At 39.1% G+C, this 23,590-nt stretch overlaps 1 protein-coding gene across 5 annotated transcripts in view; it reads left to right on the plus strand.

Annotated features, from left to right (window-relative positions):
• SRP54 (signal recognition particle 54) overlaps positions 1-21,587 on the plus strand; it is a 46,576-nt gene extending 24,989 nt beyond the window's left edge. For 4 of the 5 annotated variants that reach the window (NM_003136.4, NM_001146282.2, NM_001440813.1 and 1 more), the window contains 11 exons: positions 647-713; positions 794-851; positions 3,529-3,679; positions 5,366-5,514; positions 5,822-5,922; positions 6,764-6,850; positions 10,712-10,785; positions 10,986-11,094; positions 14,930-15,100; positions 20,108-20,203; positions 21,081-21,587. In NM_003136.4, the coding sequence (NP_003127.1) occupies positions 647-713; positions 794-851; positions 3,529-3,679; positions 5,366-5,514; positions 5,822-5,922; positions 6,764-6,850; positions 10,712-10,785; positions 10,986-11,094; positions 14,930-15,100; positions 20,108-20,203; positions 21,081-21,172 (1,155 nt within the window). In that variant the 3' untranslated portion in view covers positions 21,173-21,587. The remainder of the gene's footprint in view (positions 1-646; positions 714-793; positions 852-3,528; positions 3,680-5,365; positions 5,515-5,821; positions 5,923-6,763; positions 6,851-10,711; positions 10,786-10,985; positions 11,095-14,929; positions 15,101-20,107; positions 20,204-21,080) is intronic. The other variant, NM_001411017.1, reaches the window with a different exon arrangement.
• The last annotated feature ends 2,003 nt before the right edge of the window (positions 21,588-23,590 follow it).

Raw genomic sequence — 23,590 nt, forward strand, 5'->3', positions numbered from 1 at the left:
TTCCTATCCTTTCAGGAAGTGAGTGTGTGATTTTTGGAGAAGAGAACATGGAGTTTACTTTATCCTCTATGGCTCAGGACTCCTTTTTCAGGTTCCCACCCAGCATACTATAGATCTTCATTTTGTGTATCCTTATGCCATATTTTTTTAGACAGAGTCTTACTTTTATTGCCCAAGCTTGAGTGCAGTGGCACGCAAACATAGCTTACTGTAGCCTTGACCGCTTTATGCTAATTTTTAATTCAGTTTACCACTCCTTTCTCCCAAATTGCATGTCTCAACAATATTACAAGATTTTTCCACAAGCTTCACGTATGTTACAGTTTGAGAGGGAAAAAGAGAAAAGGATGATTTTTAGATCGTTTTGTTGTTGTTTGTTTTTAATTAACATTAATAGTAGTTAACATTTTTTGCTATGATCATTTGCTACTTGATCATTTTATATTTGAATGCTACTGCATGACAATTAGAATATAAAACTTTGTAGGAAATTTGCCACATTCAAAAATCTTTAATAATATTTTCAGGAGAATTATAAGCAGTTTTATTTTACTCCTTAGGTAAATAATAAGGAAAAACAGAAAAAATTATATGTATAGTTTGTTATATTTTATGATATTATATTTTTAAATCTTTTCTCACCCAGCTAGCATATTATTACCAGAGGAAAGGTTGGAAGACCTGTTTAATATGTGCAGACACATTCAGAGCAGGTAATGTCTTGAAATTTGAAAATTGTTTTATATAATTTTTATTTTCAAGTTTGAGGATTCATGAACTCTTTATCTTCCAGGGGCTTTTGACCAACTAAAACAGAATGCTACCAAAGCAAGAATTCCATTTTATGGAAGGTAGGTTACTGTTTTTTATTTTAACACTTATATCCCTCTTCTTGTCTGTCAGCTTTTTTTTTTTTTTTTTTTTGAGACGGAGTCTCCCTCTGTCACCCAGGCTGGGGTGCAATGGTGCGATCTTGGCTCACTGCAACCACCACCTCCTGGGTTCAAGTGATTCTCCTGTCTCAGCTTCCTGAGTAACTGGGATTACAGGTGCCCACCACCATGCCCATCTAAATTTTTGTATTTTTAGTAGAGACAGGGTTTTACCATGTTGGCCAGGCTGGTCTCGAACTCCTGACCTCAGGTGATCCACCTGCCTCAGCCTCCCAAAGTGCTGGAATTACAGGCATGAGCCACCATGCCTGACCATGCCCTGCTAATTTTTTTAAAAACTTTTTGTAAAGACCCTGTCTTATAAAATATCCTTTGTTGCCCAGGCTGGTCCCAAGCTCCTGGGCTCAAATGATCCTCCCACCTCAGCCTCCCGAAGGGCTGGGATTACAGGCTTGAGCCACTGTATGCAGCCACACACATGTTCTTATTAAGTGTATTTCTATCTGAGTTTTTGGTGGTGGTTCTTAATTTAGGGGAAAAACTTTTTTTGTAACATTATGTGTCTTTATTTGATAATAGTGATCTGCATATAAAAAGTTGCCACTAATCAGAAGAGTGCAAATTAAAATATCTCATTTCTTGATTTTCAAGTTGACAAAGATTGTATTGGGGATTGTGAAAATGTAGTGAAATAGGGATGAGATTAAACTTTTATGGAAGAGATTTGCCTCATAAAAGCAAAAAGCCTTAAATGGTCATACCATTTGTTCCAAATTCAGCTTATAAGAGGTGTCATAACATAGTGTCAAAGAAGAAACATTTATGTACCAATTATATTGGCGGTATTTTTAATATCAGGAAATTGGAAACACTGCCATGCACAGTGGCTCATATCTGTAATCCCAGCACTTCGGGAGGCTGAGGTGGGAGGATTGCTTGAGCCCAGAAGTTGGACACCAGCCTGGGCAATATAGCAAGACCTCATCTCTACAAAAAATAAATTTAAAAAATTTTCAGGCTGGGCGCACCACGTTGGGAGGCTGAGGCGGGCGGATTATGAGGTCAGGAGTTCGAGACCAGCCTGGCCAACACAGTGAAACCCTGTCTCTACTAAAAATACAGAAATTAGCTGGGCGTGGTAGTGGGTGCCTGTAATCCTAGCTACTTGGGAGGCTGAGGCAGAAGAATCGCTTGAATCTGGGAGGCGAAGGTTGCATTGAGCCGAGATCGTGCCACTACCCTTCAGCCTGGGTGACAGAGCTAGACACCGTTTAAAAAAAAAAATTTTTTTAGGCCGGGCACAGTGGCTCACACCTGTAATCCCCGTACTTTGGGAGGCTTAGGCGGGTGGATCACCTGAGGTCGGGAGTTCAAGACCAGCCTGACCAACATGGAGAAAGCCCGTTTCTACTAAAAATACAAAATAACTGGACGTGGTGGCGTGTGCCTGTAATCCCAGCTACTCAGGAGGCTGAGGCAAGAGAATTGCTTGAACCCGGGAGGCAGAGGTTGCGGTGAGCTGAGATGGCATCATTGCACTCCACCATGGGCAACAAGAGCAAAACTGTGCCTCAAAATAAATAAATAAATAAATTTAAAAAAGAAATTGGAGGCCAGGCATGATGGCTCATGCATGTGATCCCAGCATTTTGGGAGGCCAAGGCGGGCATATCATGAGGTCAGAAGTTTGAGACCATCCTGACCAACATGGTGAAACCCCGTCTTTACTGAAAATACAAAAATTAGCCAGGCCTGGTGGCAGGCGCCTGTAATCCTAGCCACTTGGGAGGCTGAGGCACGAGAATCCCTTGAACCCAGGAGGCAGAAGTGGCAGTGAGCCGAGATCGCACCACTGCACTCCAGCCTGGGCAACAGAGTGAAACTTTGTCTCAAAAATAAATAAATAAATACATAAAAATTAAAAAAAAAATTGGAAAAACGTCAAATGTCTAATAGTAGGGCGTTATTTAATAAATGATACAGCCATCTGATAGAATGCTGTATAACCTCAAGGTTATGTGTTACAGAAATATTTTTTCTTTTTTCACCCGTGTTAATTTTTAAAGAGACATGCCATGGTCTTGCTCTGTTGCCCAAGTTGGAGTGCAGTTGCATGATCATAAGCTCACTGCAGTGTCGAACTCATGGACTCAAGTGGTCCTCCTGCCTCAGTCTCCCAAGTGGCTGGGACTATAGGCATATTCCACTATGCCAGCTAGTTTTTTTTTTTTGTAGAGATGGAATCTCACTATATTGCTCAGGCTTGTTACAAGAATATCTACTGGTTTTATAAAATGCTTCCAAATGGATGTTAAATGGAAAAATGTGTGAAACACTGTGAGCATGAGTTCAATTATTAAAGAAGATATAAAAAATAAATTTGAAGGAGACACAATTCATTCAAAAAAGACATGCAGTAGAATCATACTGGGTTTTGGAATTGGAAAATTGGATAATGCTTCATGCTTTTTTAGAAGTAGATTCTGTATTTAATACTTTATAGATTTTCCTCTTCTAAATTGAAATTGGGGTCATTTTGGCTTTTTCAAAATAGATTATAGGTAAATTAACTTTCCGAATTAGTAGTATTTGGAAGTTTTGTCGTTTTGTTAAATCATTTGTCCATGTTATATAGCTATACAGAAATGGATCCTGTCATCATTGCTTCTGAAGGAGTAGAGAAATTTAAAAATGAAAATTTTGAAATTATTATTGTTGATACAAGTGGCCGCCACAAACAAGAAGACTCTTTGTTTGAAGAAATGCTTCAAGTTGCTAATGCTATAGTAAGTAGCTTTCAATGTAACACTATTATTAGGACTTTGGTTAATTTAATTATAAAACCAGGTTGAGTATATGACCAATATAAATTATTCTTTGCCTGTGAGGCAGATCCCCAGTAATTTATTTTTGTTTTGGGCACCTATATCTATGTGGTAGGGACTTAATTTCATTATTTTTGTTCTCCATTAAATATAAAATTTTCATAAGTATGAAAAAGTAATTTCCTTTCTCAGTCATCCTATTAGTATGCATAAGAAAACATTTAAAAATTAGTAATTAGGCCGGGTATGGTGGCTCACATCTATAATCCCAGCACTTTGGGAGGCCAGGGCGGATGGATCACAAGGTCAGGAGTTCAAGATCAGCCTGGCCAACATGGTGAAACTCCGTCTCTACTAAAAATACAAAAATTATCTGGGCATGGTGGTGGGTGCCTGTAATCCCAGCTACCTGGGAGCTGAGGCAGGAGAATAGCTTGAACCCGGGAGGCAGAGGTTGCAGTGAGCCAAGATCACGCCATTGCACTCCAGCCTGGGCAACAAGAGCAAAACTCCATCTCCAAAAAAAAAAAAAAAAAAAATTAGTAATTAGCCTTTAGTTTCTGTTGAATTTCCTTTTTAAAAATTCAGTTGGAAATACTTAGATTTTTAAATACTTTAAAAAATATTAATTATCATTTTGTGTCTCTTTAAAAGTGTGATGGAAACAATTTGGGGGAGGAGAAGCAGTTTATAGATATCTGCAGCATATATTATTAGGAACCCACGTCTTGACATTGGAGTGTTAGCAGTAATTCTTTGGTTTGTGGTTAATGCTAATAAGTTTCTTTTCAGTTATGTTGTTATTTTGACCAAGTTGAGCAGATCTAAGGGAAGTAGCCTCAAGTATATTTTATCCGTTTTCAGTATACACTCTTCTACTTTGATTTGCCTTTGTACTTTTTTTGCCTAGATTGCCATTCTTTCAAATCTTTGCATATAACCTTTTCCTCTTTATTCAGGCCTCAGCTCAAACATTAGGTCCAGAGAGGCCTTCCCTGACTACCTTACTAGAAAATGCCTCCCATACTTCAAAACTGATACTCTGTATCCCATTTTCGTTGTTATACATCTGAAATGTTTATCTATTTATTATATATGTCCTCTGACTAGAATGCAAGTTTCTTAGGACAAATATTTTCTCATTTACCTTTTTGTTCTCATGACCTAGATGGTACCTGATAATACATAGTACTTCAACAAATATTTATGGATTGAATAATTATTTATAGTGTAAATGTTGTAGTTTTTTTTTTTTTTTTTTTGAGATGGAGTTTCACTCTTGTCGCCCAGGCTGGAGTGCAGTGGCATGATCTCAGCTGACTGCAACCTCTGCCTCCCGGGTTCAAGTGATTCTCCTGCCTGAGCCTCTCAAGTAGCTGGGATTACAGGCACTCGCCACCATGCCTGGCTAATTTTTGTATGCTAATTTTTGTATTTTTAGTAGAGACGGGGTTTTCACCATGTTGGCCAGGCTGGTCTTGAACTATCTCAGGTGATCCACCTGGCTCGGCCTCCCAAAGTGCTGGGATTACAGGCATGAGCCACTGCACCTGGCTCTAAATATTGTTTTATAGCTTCTAATGATGACATTTGCTTAGGATCAATAAAAATCTTTTCTAAAGTATCTTTTCTATTTAAACTTTCTAGCAACCTGATAACATTGTTTATGTGATGGATGCCTCCATTGGGCAGGCTTGTGAAGCCCAGGCTAAGGCTTTTAAAGATAAAGTAGATGTAGCCTCAGTAATAGTGACAAAACTTGATGGCCATGCAAAAGGAGGTGGTGCACTCAGTGCGTAAGTATCATTGATACTGTTGTCCTCTGTCTTGGGATTATATGGGGAAGGATATGTGTTTATAGCTTTCATATTGATCATTTAAAATATGTTTCAATAGTGAGCCTAATATGGTTTATAAAGAAAGTTTAAATAGAAACAATTTTGGAGCCTGTCTGATATAGGTCTATTATAACTTGTGAAATGAAACTTGAGTTTTGTACCTTTGTCTAATTAGCTTTGGAGGCGGATTCACTTCGAATTTCAGATCTGCTGGAAATTTGTGGGGTTCTTTTGAGGTTATTTTATATTTTCTTTTTTTTTCCAGAGTCGCTGCCACAAAAAGTCCGATTATTTTCATTGGTACAGGGGAACATATAGATGACTTTGAACCTTTCAAAACACAGCCTTTTATTAGCAAACTTCTTGGTATGTACAGTGGTGGGGATATAGAAAAATCTCCAAGAAATACGATGTATCTTTAGGACAAAATAGGATTTTAATTCTGTCCTCACTAATTTAAGCACATCATTTCTTTCTGTGACTTAGTTTCCTTACCTGTAAAATAGAGATAATGGTTATCTGCCCTCTGTGGTGAAAGTGGTAAAATGAGGTATCTAGTAGAAAGTTCTTTGGAAAAGTTTTAGAGCACAGTACAAAAACAAGTGGTTTTAATAATAGTGGATGTAAGGGCAGTAATACTTTGGCAATGTCTCAAGGTGGTATAGTTAGAGAGCATGGAATTTGGAGTTAAACCCTGGGCTGCAGTCCTTGCTTTGCCACTTGTTTGTTGCCACTTAACTTTTTTTTTTTTTTTTTTTGAGACGGAGTTTCGCTCTTGTCACCCAGGCTGGAGTGCAATGGCGGGATCTCAGTTCACTGCACCTTCAGCCTCCCGGGTTCAAGCGATTTTCCTGCCTTAGCCTCCCAGGTAGCTGGGATTACAGGCGTGCACCACCAGGTCCAGCTAATTTTTTTTTATTTTTAGTAGAGACGGGGTTTCACCATGTTGGCCAGGCTAGTCTCAAACTCCTGACCTCAGGTGATCCACCCACCTTGGCCTCCCAAAGTGCTGGGATTACAGGCATGAGCCACCGCTCCTGGCCATGCCACTTAACTTTCTTAGCTTTGGTTTTCTCATTTGTGTAGTGTAGTAAGAATACCTAACCTATTATAACCTCACAAGGTTATTATGTATGTGAATGTGTTTTGTATAATGTGAAGCAGGGTATAGTATTAGTTGTTAATTTTTCTTTTTTGTATCTTATAGGTATGGGCGACATTGAAGGACTGATAGATAAAGTCAACGAGTTGAAGTTGGATGACAATGAAGCACTTATAGAGAAGTTGAAACATGGTATATGAGTGACAAAAAAGCACTTCATCTCAGATTTCTTCCATTGATTTTTTTTATAAAGTTACTATTAAGTTATTTGAAATGTAATATCTGTTAGAGTCAGATCTTCCACTGCTTATTATTTTAGATGATTTATATGCAAATCATTTAAAATCTCAGGTACCTGAGCAGTTACAGAATTCAGTGTTTTTATTTTCTTTATTGTAATAAAATTAAGATTAAAATAAGGCTTTCACTAGGTTCCTTGAAGTTTTTCTGTTTTTTAAGACAGAGTCTCACTCTGTTACCCAGGCTGGAGTGCAGTGGTGCAATCTTGGCTCACCGCAAACTCCACCTCCTGGGTTCAAGTGATTCTCCTGCCTCAGCCTCCTGAGTAGCTGGGATTACGGGCACGTACCACCAGGCCCGGCTAATTTTTGTATTTTTAGTAGAGATGGGTTTTGCCATGTTGGCCAGGCTGGTCTTGAACTGCTGACCTCAGGTGATCCACCCACCTCAGCCTCCCAAAGTGCTGAGATTACAGGTGTGAACCACTGTGCTTGGCCGGTTCCTTGAAGTTAAACAGGTTAAAAGTAAGTTAGAACACAAGGATGAAATTAAATATACCACATTTTCTTTACCCCACATGAAAGACCACTCCTGTAGAGAAGGATATTATTCTGATTAGGAGCTCAGGTTCTTAAATATAACATACCTGTTTTTGTATCTCTGATCTATTTTTTAGCTTTATAACTTTTTAAATTACTTAGCCTCAATTTTGTCATCTATAAAACGTACATAATACTAACTACTTCATATGGTTGTGAAGATTGCATTCGCTGATGCATGTACAATGTCTGGCACATCATAAACACTCAATGTATATTATTCTCAACCATTCCAGTTGTTCTAAAAATAATCTTTAATTACCGTAGCAACTATTCTGCCTCTTTGCTTCTTCTCACTCATCTTACCAGATAATTGTGCCTTTACTTTTCTCTTAAATGCTGGTGTTTCTCAGGGATCATTCGAAGTTATCTTTCTCAGGAGCTTCAGACTCATGTATCTGTGTTTACTAGACCATTCTTGGATGTTTCATAGACATCTCAAATTCAGCATATCCTTATTCCCATCCCAACCTCTCACCTCGTTGTCTTATCAATGAATATTAATATCATTTATATTGTTGCCAGAGTCAGAAACTTGGGTGTCATTATTATTTCTTCCTCACTCTGCCCACTCCTTTCTCCATCAGTTAACTAGTCCAAGTGTTTCCACCTCCTAAATATCTCCATTCCATCCCCTTCTCTGTAGCTGCCCTTCAACTATGCTAGTTCATCTCTTTCCTAGATCTTCTTATTGTAAGTCTTTCAACAGATCTTCCATCTTCCTGTACTCTTCCCCTTTGATGTATTTTTTCATACTACAGCCCAGAATAATCTTTCAAAACTGCAAATCTGATCCCATTACTGCTTTTCTTAAAATTCTTTAGTGGCTTTCTCTTGCCCTTTTAAAGTTTTTAACTGATTTTACTGTCTAGCTCACATCTTCCATGTTGTGTTTTAGCATTGTTGTTCTTAGTATTCTGTGTGCCAGCTATGCTGGACTTCTTTTAGTTTCTCAAATGTACATTCCTGTCTCTCACATCTGGGCTGTTGCCTTTGCCAGTCCCTCTATCTCTCTTCTTACCTCTGCCATCATCTCCTCTGGCCAAGATGGCTAACTGCTACTTGCACTTCAGATTTCTCCTTAAATGTCCTTCTTCAGGGACATTTCACCTGAACCCTAGACTGAGTTGGAACCTTCTGACAGATGTTTCTATCACTTCCTACAATTAATTTTTATATTATTCAGCACAATTATTTGATGTCTGTTTTTCCTGCTTGAAGGTGAAGGTAGAGGTCATAGCTGGGTTACTCATTTTTTATGTTCACAGTACCTAGCACAGTGTCTGGCACATAGTAGGCCTTCAGCAACTATTGAATGAATGAATTTATCCTTTGTTGCCTGTCTCTTTGCCCCTTTTTTTTCTTTTCTTTTTTTTTTTTTTTCTTCTTTTTTTGAGACAGAGTTTCACTCTTGTTGCCCAGGCTGGAGTGCATTGGCACAATCTCAGCTCAGTGCAACCTCCGCCTCCCAGTTTGAAGCAGTTCTCCTGCCTCAGCCTCCCCATTAGCTGGGACTACAGGCATGCACTGCCACGCCCGGCTAATTTTTGCATTTTTAGTAGAAATGGGGTTTCACCATGGTGGCCAGGCTGATCTCGAACTCCTGGCCTCAGGTGATCTGCCTGCCTCGGCCTCCCAAAGTGCTGAGATTACAGGCATGAGCCACCTTGCCTGGCCGCTCCTTCCTTTTTCTATCTTGGATAATCCTACCACTGTTTCTGCTACCACTATGAAGCTGGGTGTATATTCCTACTCTGTTTCCTTTCTGACTCCTGACTCTCCTTAAGTCTCTACATTTTTGTTTCTATTTCTAATATTCTACTCATTCTGAGATCTCCAAGGGTCTCCTAATTTCCACATGTAGTGACCTTTCTTGTTTTCCTTGGTTCCTAATATTTAAGTGTTTTCTGCCTTTTCTGTTTTCAGACTCTAAGTTCTATGTCTGTGGATTTCTTATATTATTCTAGCTTTAATTATCACTTCTGTATAAATGGCCAAATATGTATTTCAACCTTAATCCTCTCTTCCACTGTTTAATTCTGCGTTTCTAGTTGACTGCTATAACATTTCTTTTAAGATACTGTACTGCCACTTCACATTCAGAATGCCTGAACCAAATACCTTTTCTCTTTTTATCTTTAGGACATAAATAGAAAATACTTTCTCTTTTGGCTTGTTCCATCCCTGTTTTTAAACCTTAGGTTAGTATACATACAATGAAATGCTCAAATCCTAAGGATACCTTTCTTTTTTTGACAAATGCACAGTAACCCACACCCAATCAAGAAACAGAACATTTCCATTACTCTAAAAGGTTTGCTTGTGCCCTTTCCCGGTAATACTTCATATTATAGAAGTCCTGGGCTGTGCATGGTGGCTCACACTGTAATCCTAGTGCTTTAGGAGGCCAAGGTGGGAGGATCATTTGAGGTCAGGAGTTTGAGACCAGCCTGGGCAATGTAGTGAGACCCATATCTCTTAGAAAAATCCAGTGGCATGCATCCATAGTCATAACTACTCTGGAGACTGAGGCAGGCGGTCACTTGAGCTCAAGAGTTTGAGGCTACCAGTGTGTGATGACTGTACCACTTCAATCCAGTCTCAGTGATAGAGCACAACCCTCTTAAAAAAATAAAGAAATTCTGAGTATATCGTTTTTCTTCCAATCTGTTTTCTTTGACTAAGCATATTTTGATATTAATTCATGTAGTTGTACTTATCTATAGTTTGTTCTTTTTATTGCTGAATAATATTTTTTCCACAGTGTATCCATTTTCCTGTTCATAGATACCTAAGCTATTTAAGAAACTCCAAACAATCTTCTAAAGTGTCTTGCTATTCTATATTCTCACCAATATATGGGAGTTCTTTGTGGTCCACATCCACTTTAACTTTTGATATTGTCAACCTTTAAAATTTTACTCATCCTAGTAGGTGTAGTTTATGTGCCTTGTTTTCAGGTTTCTTGTGTGTTTGTATATGTGTCTTCTCAGATAGAATGTAAGCTTCTCTATGATAGGACCTGTCTTTGTCTATGTATTCTCCCCAGCATTCATCCTGTCATCTTGCACATGGTAACTGCTTGGTGAATATTTATTGATGTATATTTTATAAATATGCTTCAAGATGAATTCATGATTAAGGAATAAATTAGTTTTGTTGAATGGAAATGTACATACTTTAATATATCCGAATTATTTACATTGTATTTCAGGTCAGTTTACGTTGCGAGACATGTATGAGCAATTTCAAAATATCATGAAAATGGGCCCCTTCAGTCAGATCTTGGTTAGTTATCCTTAAAACTTTATACCTTCTTTTGTTTTCATTAAATTTTCTAAAATAGATACACTTGCTTTAATTATTTTTACATTCGGGTAAAAATATATCTAAGACTTAGTGTCAATATTAAACCTAATAGTTAAATGTGGACATTTTGAACCATTAATCTTAAGCTACTATTGACTTTATGTTTAAATCTGTTGTAGGGGATGATCCCTGGTTTTGGGACAGATTTTATGAGCAAAGGAAATGAACAGGAGTCAATGGCAAGGCTAAAGAAATTAATGACAATAATGGATAGTATGAATGATCAAGGTAAGATGGCAGATTATTTTCCTCAGGCAAAAATGTTCTGAGTATCAGTAAGATGAGAGTTTCACTGTATTCTTGTGGACAAGATGGGGAGAAATTTAGCCTGAAAGATTATTTTTAGGTAGATTTGTAATAGCTTGAAAGCTCTTACTCAAAGGGTTATGATTATTGGATTGCCTTCATCGTTGAGAGAAATGTCTAGTATAATACTTCTCCAAATGAGTTACAAGGAAAGAACACTAGTTCTTCATGATGTTCATAGAGTTAACTTAAAAGGAGAACTCTGAGTCAAATGTGGTGGAATGCTAGTTTTTAAAGAGTTAAATTTGGCTGGGTGAGGTGGCTCACACCTGTAATCCTAGCACTTTGGCAGGCCAAGGTGGGAAGATTACTTGAGGCCAGGAGTTTAAGACCAACCTGGCCAAACGTAGCAAGACCCTGCCTCTATGAAAAAAAATTATTTACTGAAAGTCTCTTCACGGAGCTTTAATATTGCTAACATACATTGGGAAACTAAGAAATGGATAGCTTAAGCAATGCTTAGAAAATTCTTTCTGTCTGAAACATAAGAATTCAGTTTTCTCAGTATACTGCTCTGTTCCCCTGACCCTATAAAGGCATGCCTCAGAGATACTGTGGGTTTGGTTCTAGACCACTGCAGTAAAGGAAATATCATGCAATAAAGTCAGTCATACAGATTGTTTTGGTTTTCCAGTGTATATAAAAGTTATGTTTACAAATACATATACTGTAGTCTATTAAGTGTGCAAGAGCATTATATCTAAAAAACAATGTATATACCTTAATTTAAAAATAGTTGATTGTTGGCCGGGCGCAGTGGCTCACGACGCCTGTAATCCCAGCACTTTGGGAGGCTGAGGCGGGCGGATCACCTGAGGTCAGGAGTTTGACACCAGCCTGGCTAACATGGTAAAACCCCGTTTCTACTAAAAATACAAAAAAATTAGCCGGGCGTGGTGGCACACACCTGTAATCCCAGCTACTTGGGAGGCTGAGGCAGGAGAATCGCTTGAACCCGGGAGGCGGAGGTTGCAGTGAGCCGAGATTGTGTCATTGCACTCCAGCCTGGGCGACAGAGTGAGACTCTGTCTCAAAAGAAAAAAATAAAAAAATATAGTTTATTGCTAAAAATGCTAATGATCATCTAAGCCTTCAGTGCATTATAATCTTTTTGCTGGTGGAGGGCCTTAGCTTGATGTTGATGACTGCTAACTGATTACAGTGATGGTTGCCAAAGGTCAAGGTGGCTGTGACAATTTCTTAAAACACAAGAATGAAATTTGCCCCATTGATTGACTCTTCTTTTCACAAAAGATTTCTCTGTAGTATTCGATGCTGTTCGATAGCATTTTACCCACAGTAGAACGTCTTCCAAAATTGGAGTCAGTTCTGTCAAACCCTGCTGCTGCTGCTTTATCAACTAAGTTTATGTAATATTCTAACAATTTGAACAATTTTTCATATCTGTGCTTTATCTACTATCTGATTTATTGTTATTTTTTTGTAGTCTCTTTTTCCTGAGCTCCAGGTTTTCATAGTAGCCCAAATAAGACTGTCTTTTTCTTTTAAGGTTGTTTTTTTTCCTCACTGTCTTTAACACTGCAAAAATGTTTGCATGTAGAATTCATAATTGCAGCATATCTAAAGTATCCATTCTGTGCCAGGCACTGTCCTGAGCACTTTAAATATATTAATTCATTTTATCATCATAACAACTCCTATGGCATATTCAGTTATTATCTGCCTTTTTCAAATTAGGAAACTGGGATACAGGGAAGTTGAGTAATTTGCCCAGTATAGAACCTTTCCTGACTTCCTTCCTTCTTTGAATTAACGCCCCTTCCTCTATTTGCTTAACTCTGTCGTATTACTTGCCACGATGTGCTGCTATTAGTTTATCTTCTTTCATTTGATTTGAGCTGTTGGAAGGAATATAATATATATGTTTCATAAATCTTTTATAAGGAAGATGTGGCTTAAAAGCTGCATTTATGAAATGGATTTGGAGGTTTTGATCGTGACTTTATTTTGAGATATTGTATCTTTGTTAGTATTGCATTGATAATTAGACTTCACCTGGATTTCAGTTCACTTCTGGACAATATACTTAGAGGGTATGTATAGACAAATTAAAAGATGTAGGAAATCAGGATGATAAATGGGGTTCTAAACCATGTTAGAAGAGTCAGAGGTGGATATTTGTCATCCAGCGAAAATTCACAGGAGACATGGTAGCTCTTATGCATTTGAAAGCTGGCCAGGTGCGGTGGCTCTCAACTGTAATCCCAGCATTTTGGGAGGCTGAGGTCGGTGGATCACTTGAGGTCAGGAGTTCGAGACCAGCCTGGGCAACATGGTGAAACCCTGTCTTTACTAAAAGTACAAAAAAAATTAGCTGGCTGTGGTGGCGTGTGCCTATAGTTCCAGCTACTCAGGAGCCTGAGGTGGGAGAATCGCTTGAACCCTGGAGGTGGTGGTTGCAGTGAGCGAAGCTTGCACCACTGCACTCCAGCCTGAGGGACAGAGCAACACTCTGTCTCAAAAAAAAAAAAGATTTTGAAAGCCTTATTTTTTATGCGTAGCAAGGAGACATATACATGAATAGGAATGGAAGTGCCACGTAAATGGATTTCAATTTAATATGTGTAAAGAAAAGATTTTTCCCTAAGTATAACAGAATGGCATAGACAGCCTTACATTAGATAGCAGGTCATCTCTCCTGGGGATATTAAGACCAAGGCTAGATAACCATTTATTTGGGGGATATTGCAGAGGGAATGCAGACATAATGGACATTTTGACTAAAGTCCATCCCATTCCTGAGATTGCATGCAACTGAAGCTAGAAGAAATGCACCTGATATTCTAAGAGTGATCAAACAACTGCGGGAATTAATTCACTATATGCTACTGAGAGAATTAAAATACTAGTAGTAGTAATTACTTGATTATAGGAAATAATTTTTCTGTTGATTATGGATAGAACGTACCTCTTTCTGCTTGCTTATATAGTCTACATTATGAATTTATGATTAATATTTAGGGTAGAGCTAAAGTGAGCATTTGTGTTCATTTTTTAAATATACCATATACCTCTGATGTTTGGAGGGCCTGGAGAGGGTAGACATATGAAGTATGGAAATGTTGGACATGGGGTCTCGAAACATTCTATTAATAGTTTACTTAAACTGTAGGGAAAGTACATGTTTGTTTCATTGTTTTTATAGCTTATGAATACTATAAATGTTCTTTTGAATATATTCCGTATTTTCTTTTTTTTTTTGAGATGGAGTCTCGCTCTGTCGCCCAGGCTGGAGTGCAATGGCGCAATCTTGGCTCACTGCAACCTCTGCCTCCCAGGTTCAAGCGATTCTTCTGCCTCAGCCTCCCGAGTAGCTGGGACTACAGGCACATGCCACCATGCCCAGCTAATTTTTGTATTATTAGTAAAGACAGGGTTTCACCATATTGGCCAGGCTGGTGTCGAACTCCTGACCTCATGAGCTGCCTGCCTCGGCCTCACAAAGTGTTGTGATTACAGGCATGAGCCACCACGCCTGGCCTCCATGTTTAATTTTTAAAACTCAAAAGCAAACATAGCGAATGTTAACATTTGTTAAATCTGGGTGGTAGTTTGACTATGTATTATGTCTGTTTTTCTGTATGTAAGATATTTTGTAATATAAAAAGAAAAATGAGATAGTTATCACTTTAAAAACATCTGCTAAGCTCTTTGAAGTTATATATTGCCCATTTGCACATAACTGCTTTGATGGTGAATGATAATTGTGTGTGAGAGTAACTGACCTTGTCTACAGAACTAGACAGTACGGATGGTGCCAAAGTTTTTAGTAAACAACCAGGAAGAATCCAAAGAGTAGCAAGAGGATCGGGTGTATCAACAAGAGATGTTCAAGAACTTTTGACACAATATACCAAGTTTGCACAGATGGTAAAAAAGATGGGAGGTATCAAAGGACTTTTCAAAGGTAAGAAAAATAAGCTTGTTATTAGTTAACAGACGGAAAAGAAAGGAAGTTGAGAAAAAAGAGTGCTGCCAGTATTGGAAAATTCACAGCTGAATTTCATGTTATTTTCAAGTACTTCCAGGATTTATGTGACCTGTGATTTATCTGTTTTCATATTCAAGGTAATATTAATATTTAAAAAAAAACTTTACATCTGTGTAGTGTGGGTAAATGAAAAAAAATTAATAAAGCAATGATTTTCTTTTTGTGAACACATTATATTAAATTTAGATAATATAAGGAAAAAAAAAACACATTACCTTTACTCCCCAGAGAATCCAGTGGATCCTACTGCAAATAACAGTTGCTATAACTAAGTTTTCTTCTGATATATCATAACTGTTTTTCCATGTTGTCAAATATTCTTCAAAACATAATTCTTGGCCAGGCACGATGGCTCATGCCTGTCATCCTAGCACTTTGGGAGGCTGAGGCGGGCGGATCACTTGAGGTCAGGAGTTCAAGACCAGCCTGGCCAGCATGGTGAAACCCTGCCTCTACTTAAAATACAAAAAATATCCGGGTGTCGTGGGGTGTACCTGTTATCCCAGCTACTCGGGAGGCTGAGGCAGGAGAATCACTTGAACCCAGGAGGCGGAGCTTGCAGTGAGCCGAGATTGTACCACTGTACTCCAGCCTGGGCAGCAGAGTGAGACTCCGGTCCCCAAACACACACACACACACACACACACACACACACACACTTCTTCTGAGTAATACTGTTTAAGTTATGCATGTATCTTTGTCTAATGTAGTGCCACTTTTTTGGACAGTAAGGCTGATTCATTCACTTCTATATCAGATCAGTTTTTGTGCAGTTCCATGAGACCAGGGATTTTTGCCTGTTTTGATCAGAAACATAGTAGAAGCTAAAAAAATTTTGTAGTAATATAATTTCCATTATATTTCTTTATTTATATTATTTTGAGACAGAGTCTCTCTCTGTCACCCAGACTGGAGTGCAGTGGCACAATCTCGGCTCACTGCAGCCTCTGCTTCCCAGGCTCAAACAATTCTCCTGCCTCAGCCTCCCGAGTAACTGGGATTAAAGGCATGCACCACTACCGCCTGGCTAATTTTTGTATTTTTAGTAGAGACGGGGTTTCACTATGTTGGCCAGGCTGGTCTTGAACTCCTGACCTCAAATGATGTGCCCGCCTCGGACTCCCAAAGTGCTGGGATTACAGGCTTGAGCCACCACGTCCGGCCTCACTTCCATTTTAATGGTTGAATATTTTCTCAATATGTGTTTTTACATTATTAAGTTTAACATTTCTTTGTACATTTACTGGTTTGAATTTACTTTGTGAATCACCTCTTCATGTTCCCTGTCCAGTTCTTCCATTTTTCCCCCTTATATCTTTGTAATAGCTCCTTAAAATCTTTGGTTTATGTCTTCAAATATTTTCCCCCAGTTTTTCATTTACCTTTTATTTTTATTTATATTTTATAATGAACAGTAGTTGCCCTTTTTAATGTAGCCAGCCTATCTTTTTTTATTTCTTTTATGCTCATAAACAGCTTCCCCTTGTTTATTTTTTCCTTTTTTTTTTTTCTTTACAGAGGTAATCAAGTTAACCTTCTCCATGTTGATACCACAGTTGTCACCATTTTCTTCTTTTTTTGAGACAGAGTCTTGCTCTGTCGCCCAGGCTGGAGTGCACTGGCATGATCTCAGCTCACTGCAACCTCCGCCTCCTGGGTTCAAGCTATTCTCCTGCCTCAGTCTCCCGAGTAGCTGGGATTTCAAGCACGTGCCACCATGCCCAACTAATTTTTGTATTTTTAGTAGAGACTGGGTTTCACCATCTTTACTGGCCAGGCTGGTCTCAAACTCCCAACCTCAAGTGATTCGCCCGCCTTAGCTTCCTAAAATGCTCTGGGATTACAGGCATGAGCCACAACACCTGGCTTCTACTTGTTTTTGTTTTTATTTTGTGTTTGACTTTTTAATCTCAATTGAATTTATTTTGCTGTGTATTATGTATCGTAAAAAGATAAGGTTTTCCAAAGACTTCCAACTGTTCCAGTCCTCTTTTTGATTTTTTTCTATAATGTAAACAACTAATTCAGAGTCTGTGAAAATTTGCCTTGAAACCCATTAAAATGAATTTATTGTTTCCAAAAATATTAATTAGACAAGCTCTGAATATGAACAATACCATTGAATAGCTTCTAAAAGAATGAGTATTTCCAGATGTTTTAAATTACCTTTTGTCTTTGAAGCTTTCCTTATTTTCCTTGCGATATCCTATTTTCTCTTTTGTGACAAAAAAATTAGACAAACATGTTGAAAATTGGTTATAATTCCTACCATCACATGCTATTTCAGATAGTGACTAATAAACACATTACATCACTGTAATGTCTTTCCCATGTAGTCCTGACTGTTCTTGATAGAACAGATTCACCATCCAGATCTTATCTATGCATTGATCCCTCAATAAAGGAATAACCCAAGATGAAGTTGGCAGTGGGTATACACACAGCTATGTCACACCAAACTTGAAATACTTTTTAGAAGTTTTAAATGCTGATAAACAAACTCTTAGGACAAATCACTAATGAGCATGGAATTCCCATCTTCTTCAGATTTATTCATCATAAATGGTTTTCACAGATTTTATCATAAAAACATAATCTTCTCTTTCATTCATAGTTTATAATTCACATGATTTATTCACATTAACCAGCTGTGATTGGAGAATCAGGAGGAGCTTTGAGTCCCATATTTTATAAATGCTTCTGAGAAGTACCATAGTTAATGCCCCTTTCAAATAAATAATTTTGGATGGTTGTGGTGGCTCATACTTGTAATCCCAGCACTTTGAGAGGCCAAGGCAGGAGGATCCCATGAGCCCAGGAGGGCAAGGCTGCAGTGAGCCATGATCAGAGCACTGCATTCCAGCCTGGGCGACAGAGCAAGAGCCTGTCTCAAAAAAAAAAAAAAAAAAATTGTTGAAGCAGTTCTATTCATTGTTGTAGTGATGATCTCTTGCTTTCTTTTATGAGTACAGCTGTTGTCTAAAGGGTGTTTTTATCTATTCTGTTGTTGTTTTTTTATTTATTGTTGTTGTTTATTTTTTGTTGTTTTTTGTTTGTTTGTTTTGTTTTGTTTTGAGACAGGGTCTCGCTGTGTCACCCAGGCTGGGGGCTGAAGTGCAATGGCATGATCATGGCTCACTGCAGCCTTGACCTCCCAAGCTCAAGCGATCCTCCAATCTGAGGCCCCCAAGTAGCTGAGACTACAGACGCATGCTATCACACTGAGCTAATGCTTTTTTTTGTTTTTTTTGTAGAGACAGGGTTTCCCCATGTTGCCCAGGCTGATCTTGAACTCCTGGGCTCAAGTAATCAGCCTACCTTCGCCACCTGAAGTGCTGGGATTACAAATGTGACCCACCTCACCCAGGCTGCATCTCTTTCATTGACTGCCCTTTTTACTATGGTGTTTTGACATAGTGTAGAAATTCCTTGACAAGTGAAGTTGCATTATTTGTCTTTGTATTCTCTGAAGGTTTTCATTACTTAAAGAAAACTTCTGGCCAGGCGCTGTGGCCTACGCCTGTAATCCCAGCACTTTGGGAGGCCAAGGCGGGCAGATCATGAGGTCAAGAGATCGAAACCATCCTGGCCAAAATGGTGAAACCCTGTCTCTACTAAAAATACAAAAATTAGCTGGGTGTGGTGGCTCATGCCTGTAATCCCAGCTACTCGGGAGGCTGAGACAGGAGAATGGTGTGAACCCGGGAGGCGGGGGTTGCAGTGGGCTGAGTTCGTGCCATTGCACTCCAGCCTGGGTGACAGAGCTAGACTCCATCTCAAAAACAAAACAAAACAAAAAAAACTTCTTAGATACATACACATCTTCACGTTCTCTCAGACTCATACTTTACTTTCTACTTTCTTTTTTTTTTTTTTTTCTTCTGAGACAGAGTCTTGCTCTGTCGCCCAGGCTGGAGTACAGTGGTGCGATCTTGATTCACTGCAACCTCCGCCTCCCGGATTCAAGCAATTCTGCCTCAGTCTCCTGAGTAGCTGGGACTACAGGCGTGTGCCACCATGTCTGACTAATTTATTTTGTATTGTTAGTGGAGACGGGGTTTCACCACGTTGGCTAGGCTGGTCTCGAACTCCTGACCTCAAGTGATCTGCCAGCCTCGGCCTCCCAGAGTGCTAGGATTATAGTTGTGAGCCACCACAGCCAGCCCAACAGACTCATACTTTCATATTCATCTACCAGCCATCCAGTCTCTTTGCTAATTAACCCATGTCTATAAACTCAGCTTTTTGTCCAGCATTCCCCTGTATCACTATTAAGCCGTTGTTATAGCTTACTATTAAAAACTGCTGGCTGACCAGGTACGGTGTCTCACACCTGTAATCCCAGCACTCTGGGAGGCTGAGGTGAGTGGGTCACGAGGTCAGGTGTTTGAGACCAGCCTGGCCAAGATGGTGAAACCCTGTCTCTACTAAAAATACAAAAATTAGCTGGGTGTGGTGGCGGGCACCTGTAATCCCAGCTACTTGGGAGGCTGAGGCAGGAGAATTACTTGAACCTGGGAGGTGGAGGTTGCAGTGAGCCGAGATCACGCCACTGCACTCTAGCCTGGGTGACAGAGCAAGACTCCATCTCAAAATAAATAAAAAATAAAACACTGGGTACAATTTTGCTAATAGTGGCTTATTCACAGATATAAATAAAGTATTAGCATAAATCGTAGCCTTAAAAAAGCCTTTTATATGTCCTTTTATATAGAATTTTACATGGTCTTCAAAAAATAGTATGTAATTGAGAAAAAGATTAGAAGGGAATATGTAGAAATAGAAAGAATTATGTTAGAGTGATAGGATTATGTAATTTTTTCTTAGTATTTTCTCAGTTCATCAAACTTTCTATTATACCCTGATTATACTGATTATATTACCTCCTACGCTGACTCAAAATCTTTTTTTTTTTCCCCTCAGGTGGCGACATGTCTAAGAATGTGAGCCAGTCACAGATGGCAAAATTGAACCAACAAATGGCCAAAATGATGGATCCTAGGGTTCTTCATCACATGGGTAAATACCAAGTTGTTGGCAGTTGCTAATGCAGTTTAATTTATAAGGGTTGAGTTTTAATGATAAGCCTTTTATTGTAATATTATGAAAATATGTTCAAAAGGTGTGTGATTTCAGGGAAATGGTCATCTGAATCCTAAGTTGAATTCAATTGTAATAGGGCTTATTAGCTGAGGTCTTATTCACTCCTCTGCTGCCATCTGTGTGATGTTTGAGCAAGCTATTTAATCATCTTTTGTTTGTTCTGGTGACTTTTTCCCTTATTTTAGAACCTGGATATTTTTACTTATATGACTGAGGATTTTTAACCTGAGTTCTACTTTGACTATATAACCTTTACAAAGTTCCTTAAACTTTCTGAACCTCACTTTCCCCTTCGGTAAAATCACAGATCATATCTCATCAAGAAATTGTGACAATTAAATGAGATAATATATATGAAGACATTCAGTACAATTCTGGGCATATAGTAGATGTTCAATAAATGAATTATTTTCTTTTTGTAAGTCCTATGAAATAATCCCCTATTGATTATTTTTTATGTAACTTAGAGTAAGACCCTTTTGGATTTATAAGAAAAAAATTTTTTGTTTAGATTTATTGACTATGTGACCGGTAGTATCCTAAGATCTTTTTATGTATCACCTCATTTATTCCTCGCAATAACTCCGTAAGATAGGCTATTCATTCTCTTTTATTGATGAAGATAACTGGTGATAATACAAATTTTTAGGTGGTACGTTCTTTAAGGCTGATGACTAAATTGCAATCAGAATTCAGTATTTTTAGAAGTACTTATTAGGCAAAAGTAATAAATGTTTCCAGTTCTGCTTAATAATTCTCTGTTTTTAACTCTACTTCCCTACTTTTGCTCTAGGTGGTATGGCAGGACTTCAGTCAATGATGAGGCAGTTTCAACAGGGTGCTGCTGGCAACATGAAAGGCATGATGGGATTCAATAATATGTAAAGAAAATGCCTTAATATAAACTGACTCAGTTGAATACCTAATTTGCTGAGACCTCAGCGTTTCCCTTCTTTTTGCGAATTGGGGGGAAAGTGTATTTTTCTTGCTTATCATGCACTCTTTCCTTTTCTTCTCGCCCGCTTTTCCCCTCCTTTTCTTTTTCCTTCCTTCTTTCCTCCCTTTAATATAAGGGAGAAATACATGGTTTTTGTGGAAATCATTATATGTTTGCTTTAGATTTTCTTCTGTTTTCACCATCATAACACTTAAGTTAAATCATGATGTAAAATTTTAGTACTTAAAGGTTTTTAATTATCTCGAAGGCCAAGCATTGCATTTGTAAACAGTCCTGGTCAGTAGTTAAATAATGTTTCAATTAAAGTGCTGTAAAATAAACTTCAAAGTGGTTATAAGTTAAGGGGTTGTTAACTTTCTTTATGGTTAAACATTATCAGTTTATCACACTAAAAACTCAATGGAAAAGCCAGTAGATAAATGTCATTTAAAACTATGCCTGGGGCCGAGCACGGTGGCTCACGCCTCTAATCCCAGCACTTTGTGAGGCTGAAGTGTGGATCTCTTCAGCCTGGGTGACAGAAGGAGGATCACCTGAGGTCAGGAGTTCAAGACCAGCCTGGCCAACATGGAAACCCCGTCTCTACTAAAACTACAAAAATTAGCTGGGCGTAGTGATGCATGCCTGTAGTTCCAGCTACTCGGGAGGCTGATGCATGAGAATCTCTTGAACCCGGGAGGCAGAGATTGCAGTGAGCCGAGATCGCGCCTCTGCACTCCAGCCTGGGTGACAGAGTGAGACTCTGTCTCAAAAGAAAAAAAAAAAAGAAGAGGCCAAGCATGGTGGCTCATGCCCAGGCTGGTCTGGAACTCCTGAGCTCAAGTGATCCTCCTGCCTTGGTCTCCCAAAGTGCTGGGATTACAGGCCTGAGCCAGTGCACCCAGCCAATCATTGATTTTTTTTTTTTCTTTTTTGAGACAGGGTCTTGCTTTGTTGCCCAGGCTGGAGTGCAGTGGCACGATCTCGGCTCACTGCAACCTCTGCATCCCAGGTTCAAGTGATTCTCCTGCCTTAGCCTCCTGAGTAGCTGGGATTACAGGCATGTGACAAGACACCTGGCTAATTTTTTTTTTTTTTTTTTTGAGACAGAGTCTCCTTCTGTCACCCAGGCTGAAGTGCAATGGCATGATCTCGGTTCACTGCAACCTCCACCTCCCAGGTTTGAGCAATTCTCCTGCCTCAGCCTCCCTAGTAGCTGGGATTACAGGTACGCACCACCATGTCTGGCTAATTTTTGTATTTTTAGTAGAGATGGGGTTTCGCCATGTTGGCCAGGCTGGTCTCAAACTCCTGACTTCAGGTGATCCACCTGTCTCGGCCTCTCAAAGTTCTGGGATTACAGGCATGAGCCACTGCGCCTGGCCAATTTTTGTATTTTTAGTAGAGATGAGGTTTCACCATGTTGGCCATGCTGGTCTTGAACTCATGGCCTTGAGTGATGTGCCCACTCTGTCCTCCCAAAGTGCTGGGATTATGGGCATGAGCCACCATGCTTGGCCTAATCTTTCATTTTTTTAAAGCCATTTTTGTTATGTTTTCTACATACCAAAAATATACTTGAAGAACTTGATATACTTCGATGATAATAGCTAATGTATACATCTTCTAAAGGAAAAATAATTGCAAGTATTAGGTTGTCACTATTATATATTAAAAATAATGACCTGACAGGAGTTCGAGACCAGTCTGACCAACATGGTGAAACCCTGCCTCTATTGAAAGTATAAAAATTAGCTGGGCATGGTGGCAGACACCTGTAATCTCAGCTGCTCGAGAGGCTGAGACAGAGGAGTCGCTTGAACCTGGGAGGCAGAGGTTGCAGTGAGCCAAGATCGCGCCACTGCACTCCAGCCTGTGTGACAAGAGCAATACTCTTGTTTCAACAACAACAAAAAAAGAAAAGCCAGGCATGGTGGTTCATGCCTGTAATCCCAGCACTTTGGGAGGCCCAGGCGGGTGGATTATGAGGTCAGGAGTTCAAGACCAGCTTGGCTAACATAGTGAAACCCTGTCTCTACCAAAAATAAAAAAGAATTAGCCAGGTATGGTGGCACTCACCTAGTAGTCCCAGCTACTTGGGAGGCTGAGGCAGGAGAATCACTTGAACTCGGGAGGTGGAGGTTGTGGTAAGCTGAGAGTGCGCCACTGCACTCCAGCCTGGGCAATGGAGCGAGACTCCCGTCTCAAAAAAAAAAAAAAAAAATGACCTGAATTCTAAAATGAAAGTTAAAAACATAAATCATGAGACCGTGACAAAGTTGATTTGGTTTCTGGTTATCTTGGATTGCTGCATGGTTCATTTAGAACAATGGCTTTTAAATAAATTAAGGAATTGAAAATACTGG

The sequence above is a fragment of the Homo sapiens genome, chromosome 14, assembly GCF_000001405.40.
Source record: "Homo sapiens chromosome 14, GRCh38.p14 Primary Assembly".
NCBI classification, from domain to species: Eukaryota; Metazoa; Chordata; class Mammalia; order Primates; family Hominidae; genus Homo; species Homo sapiens.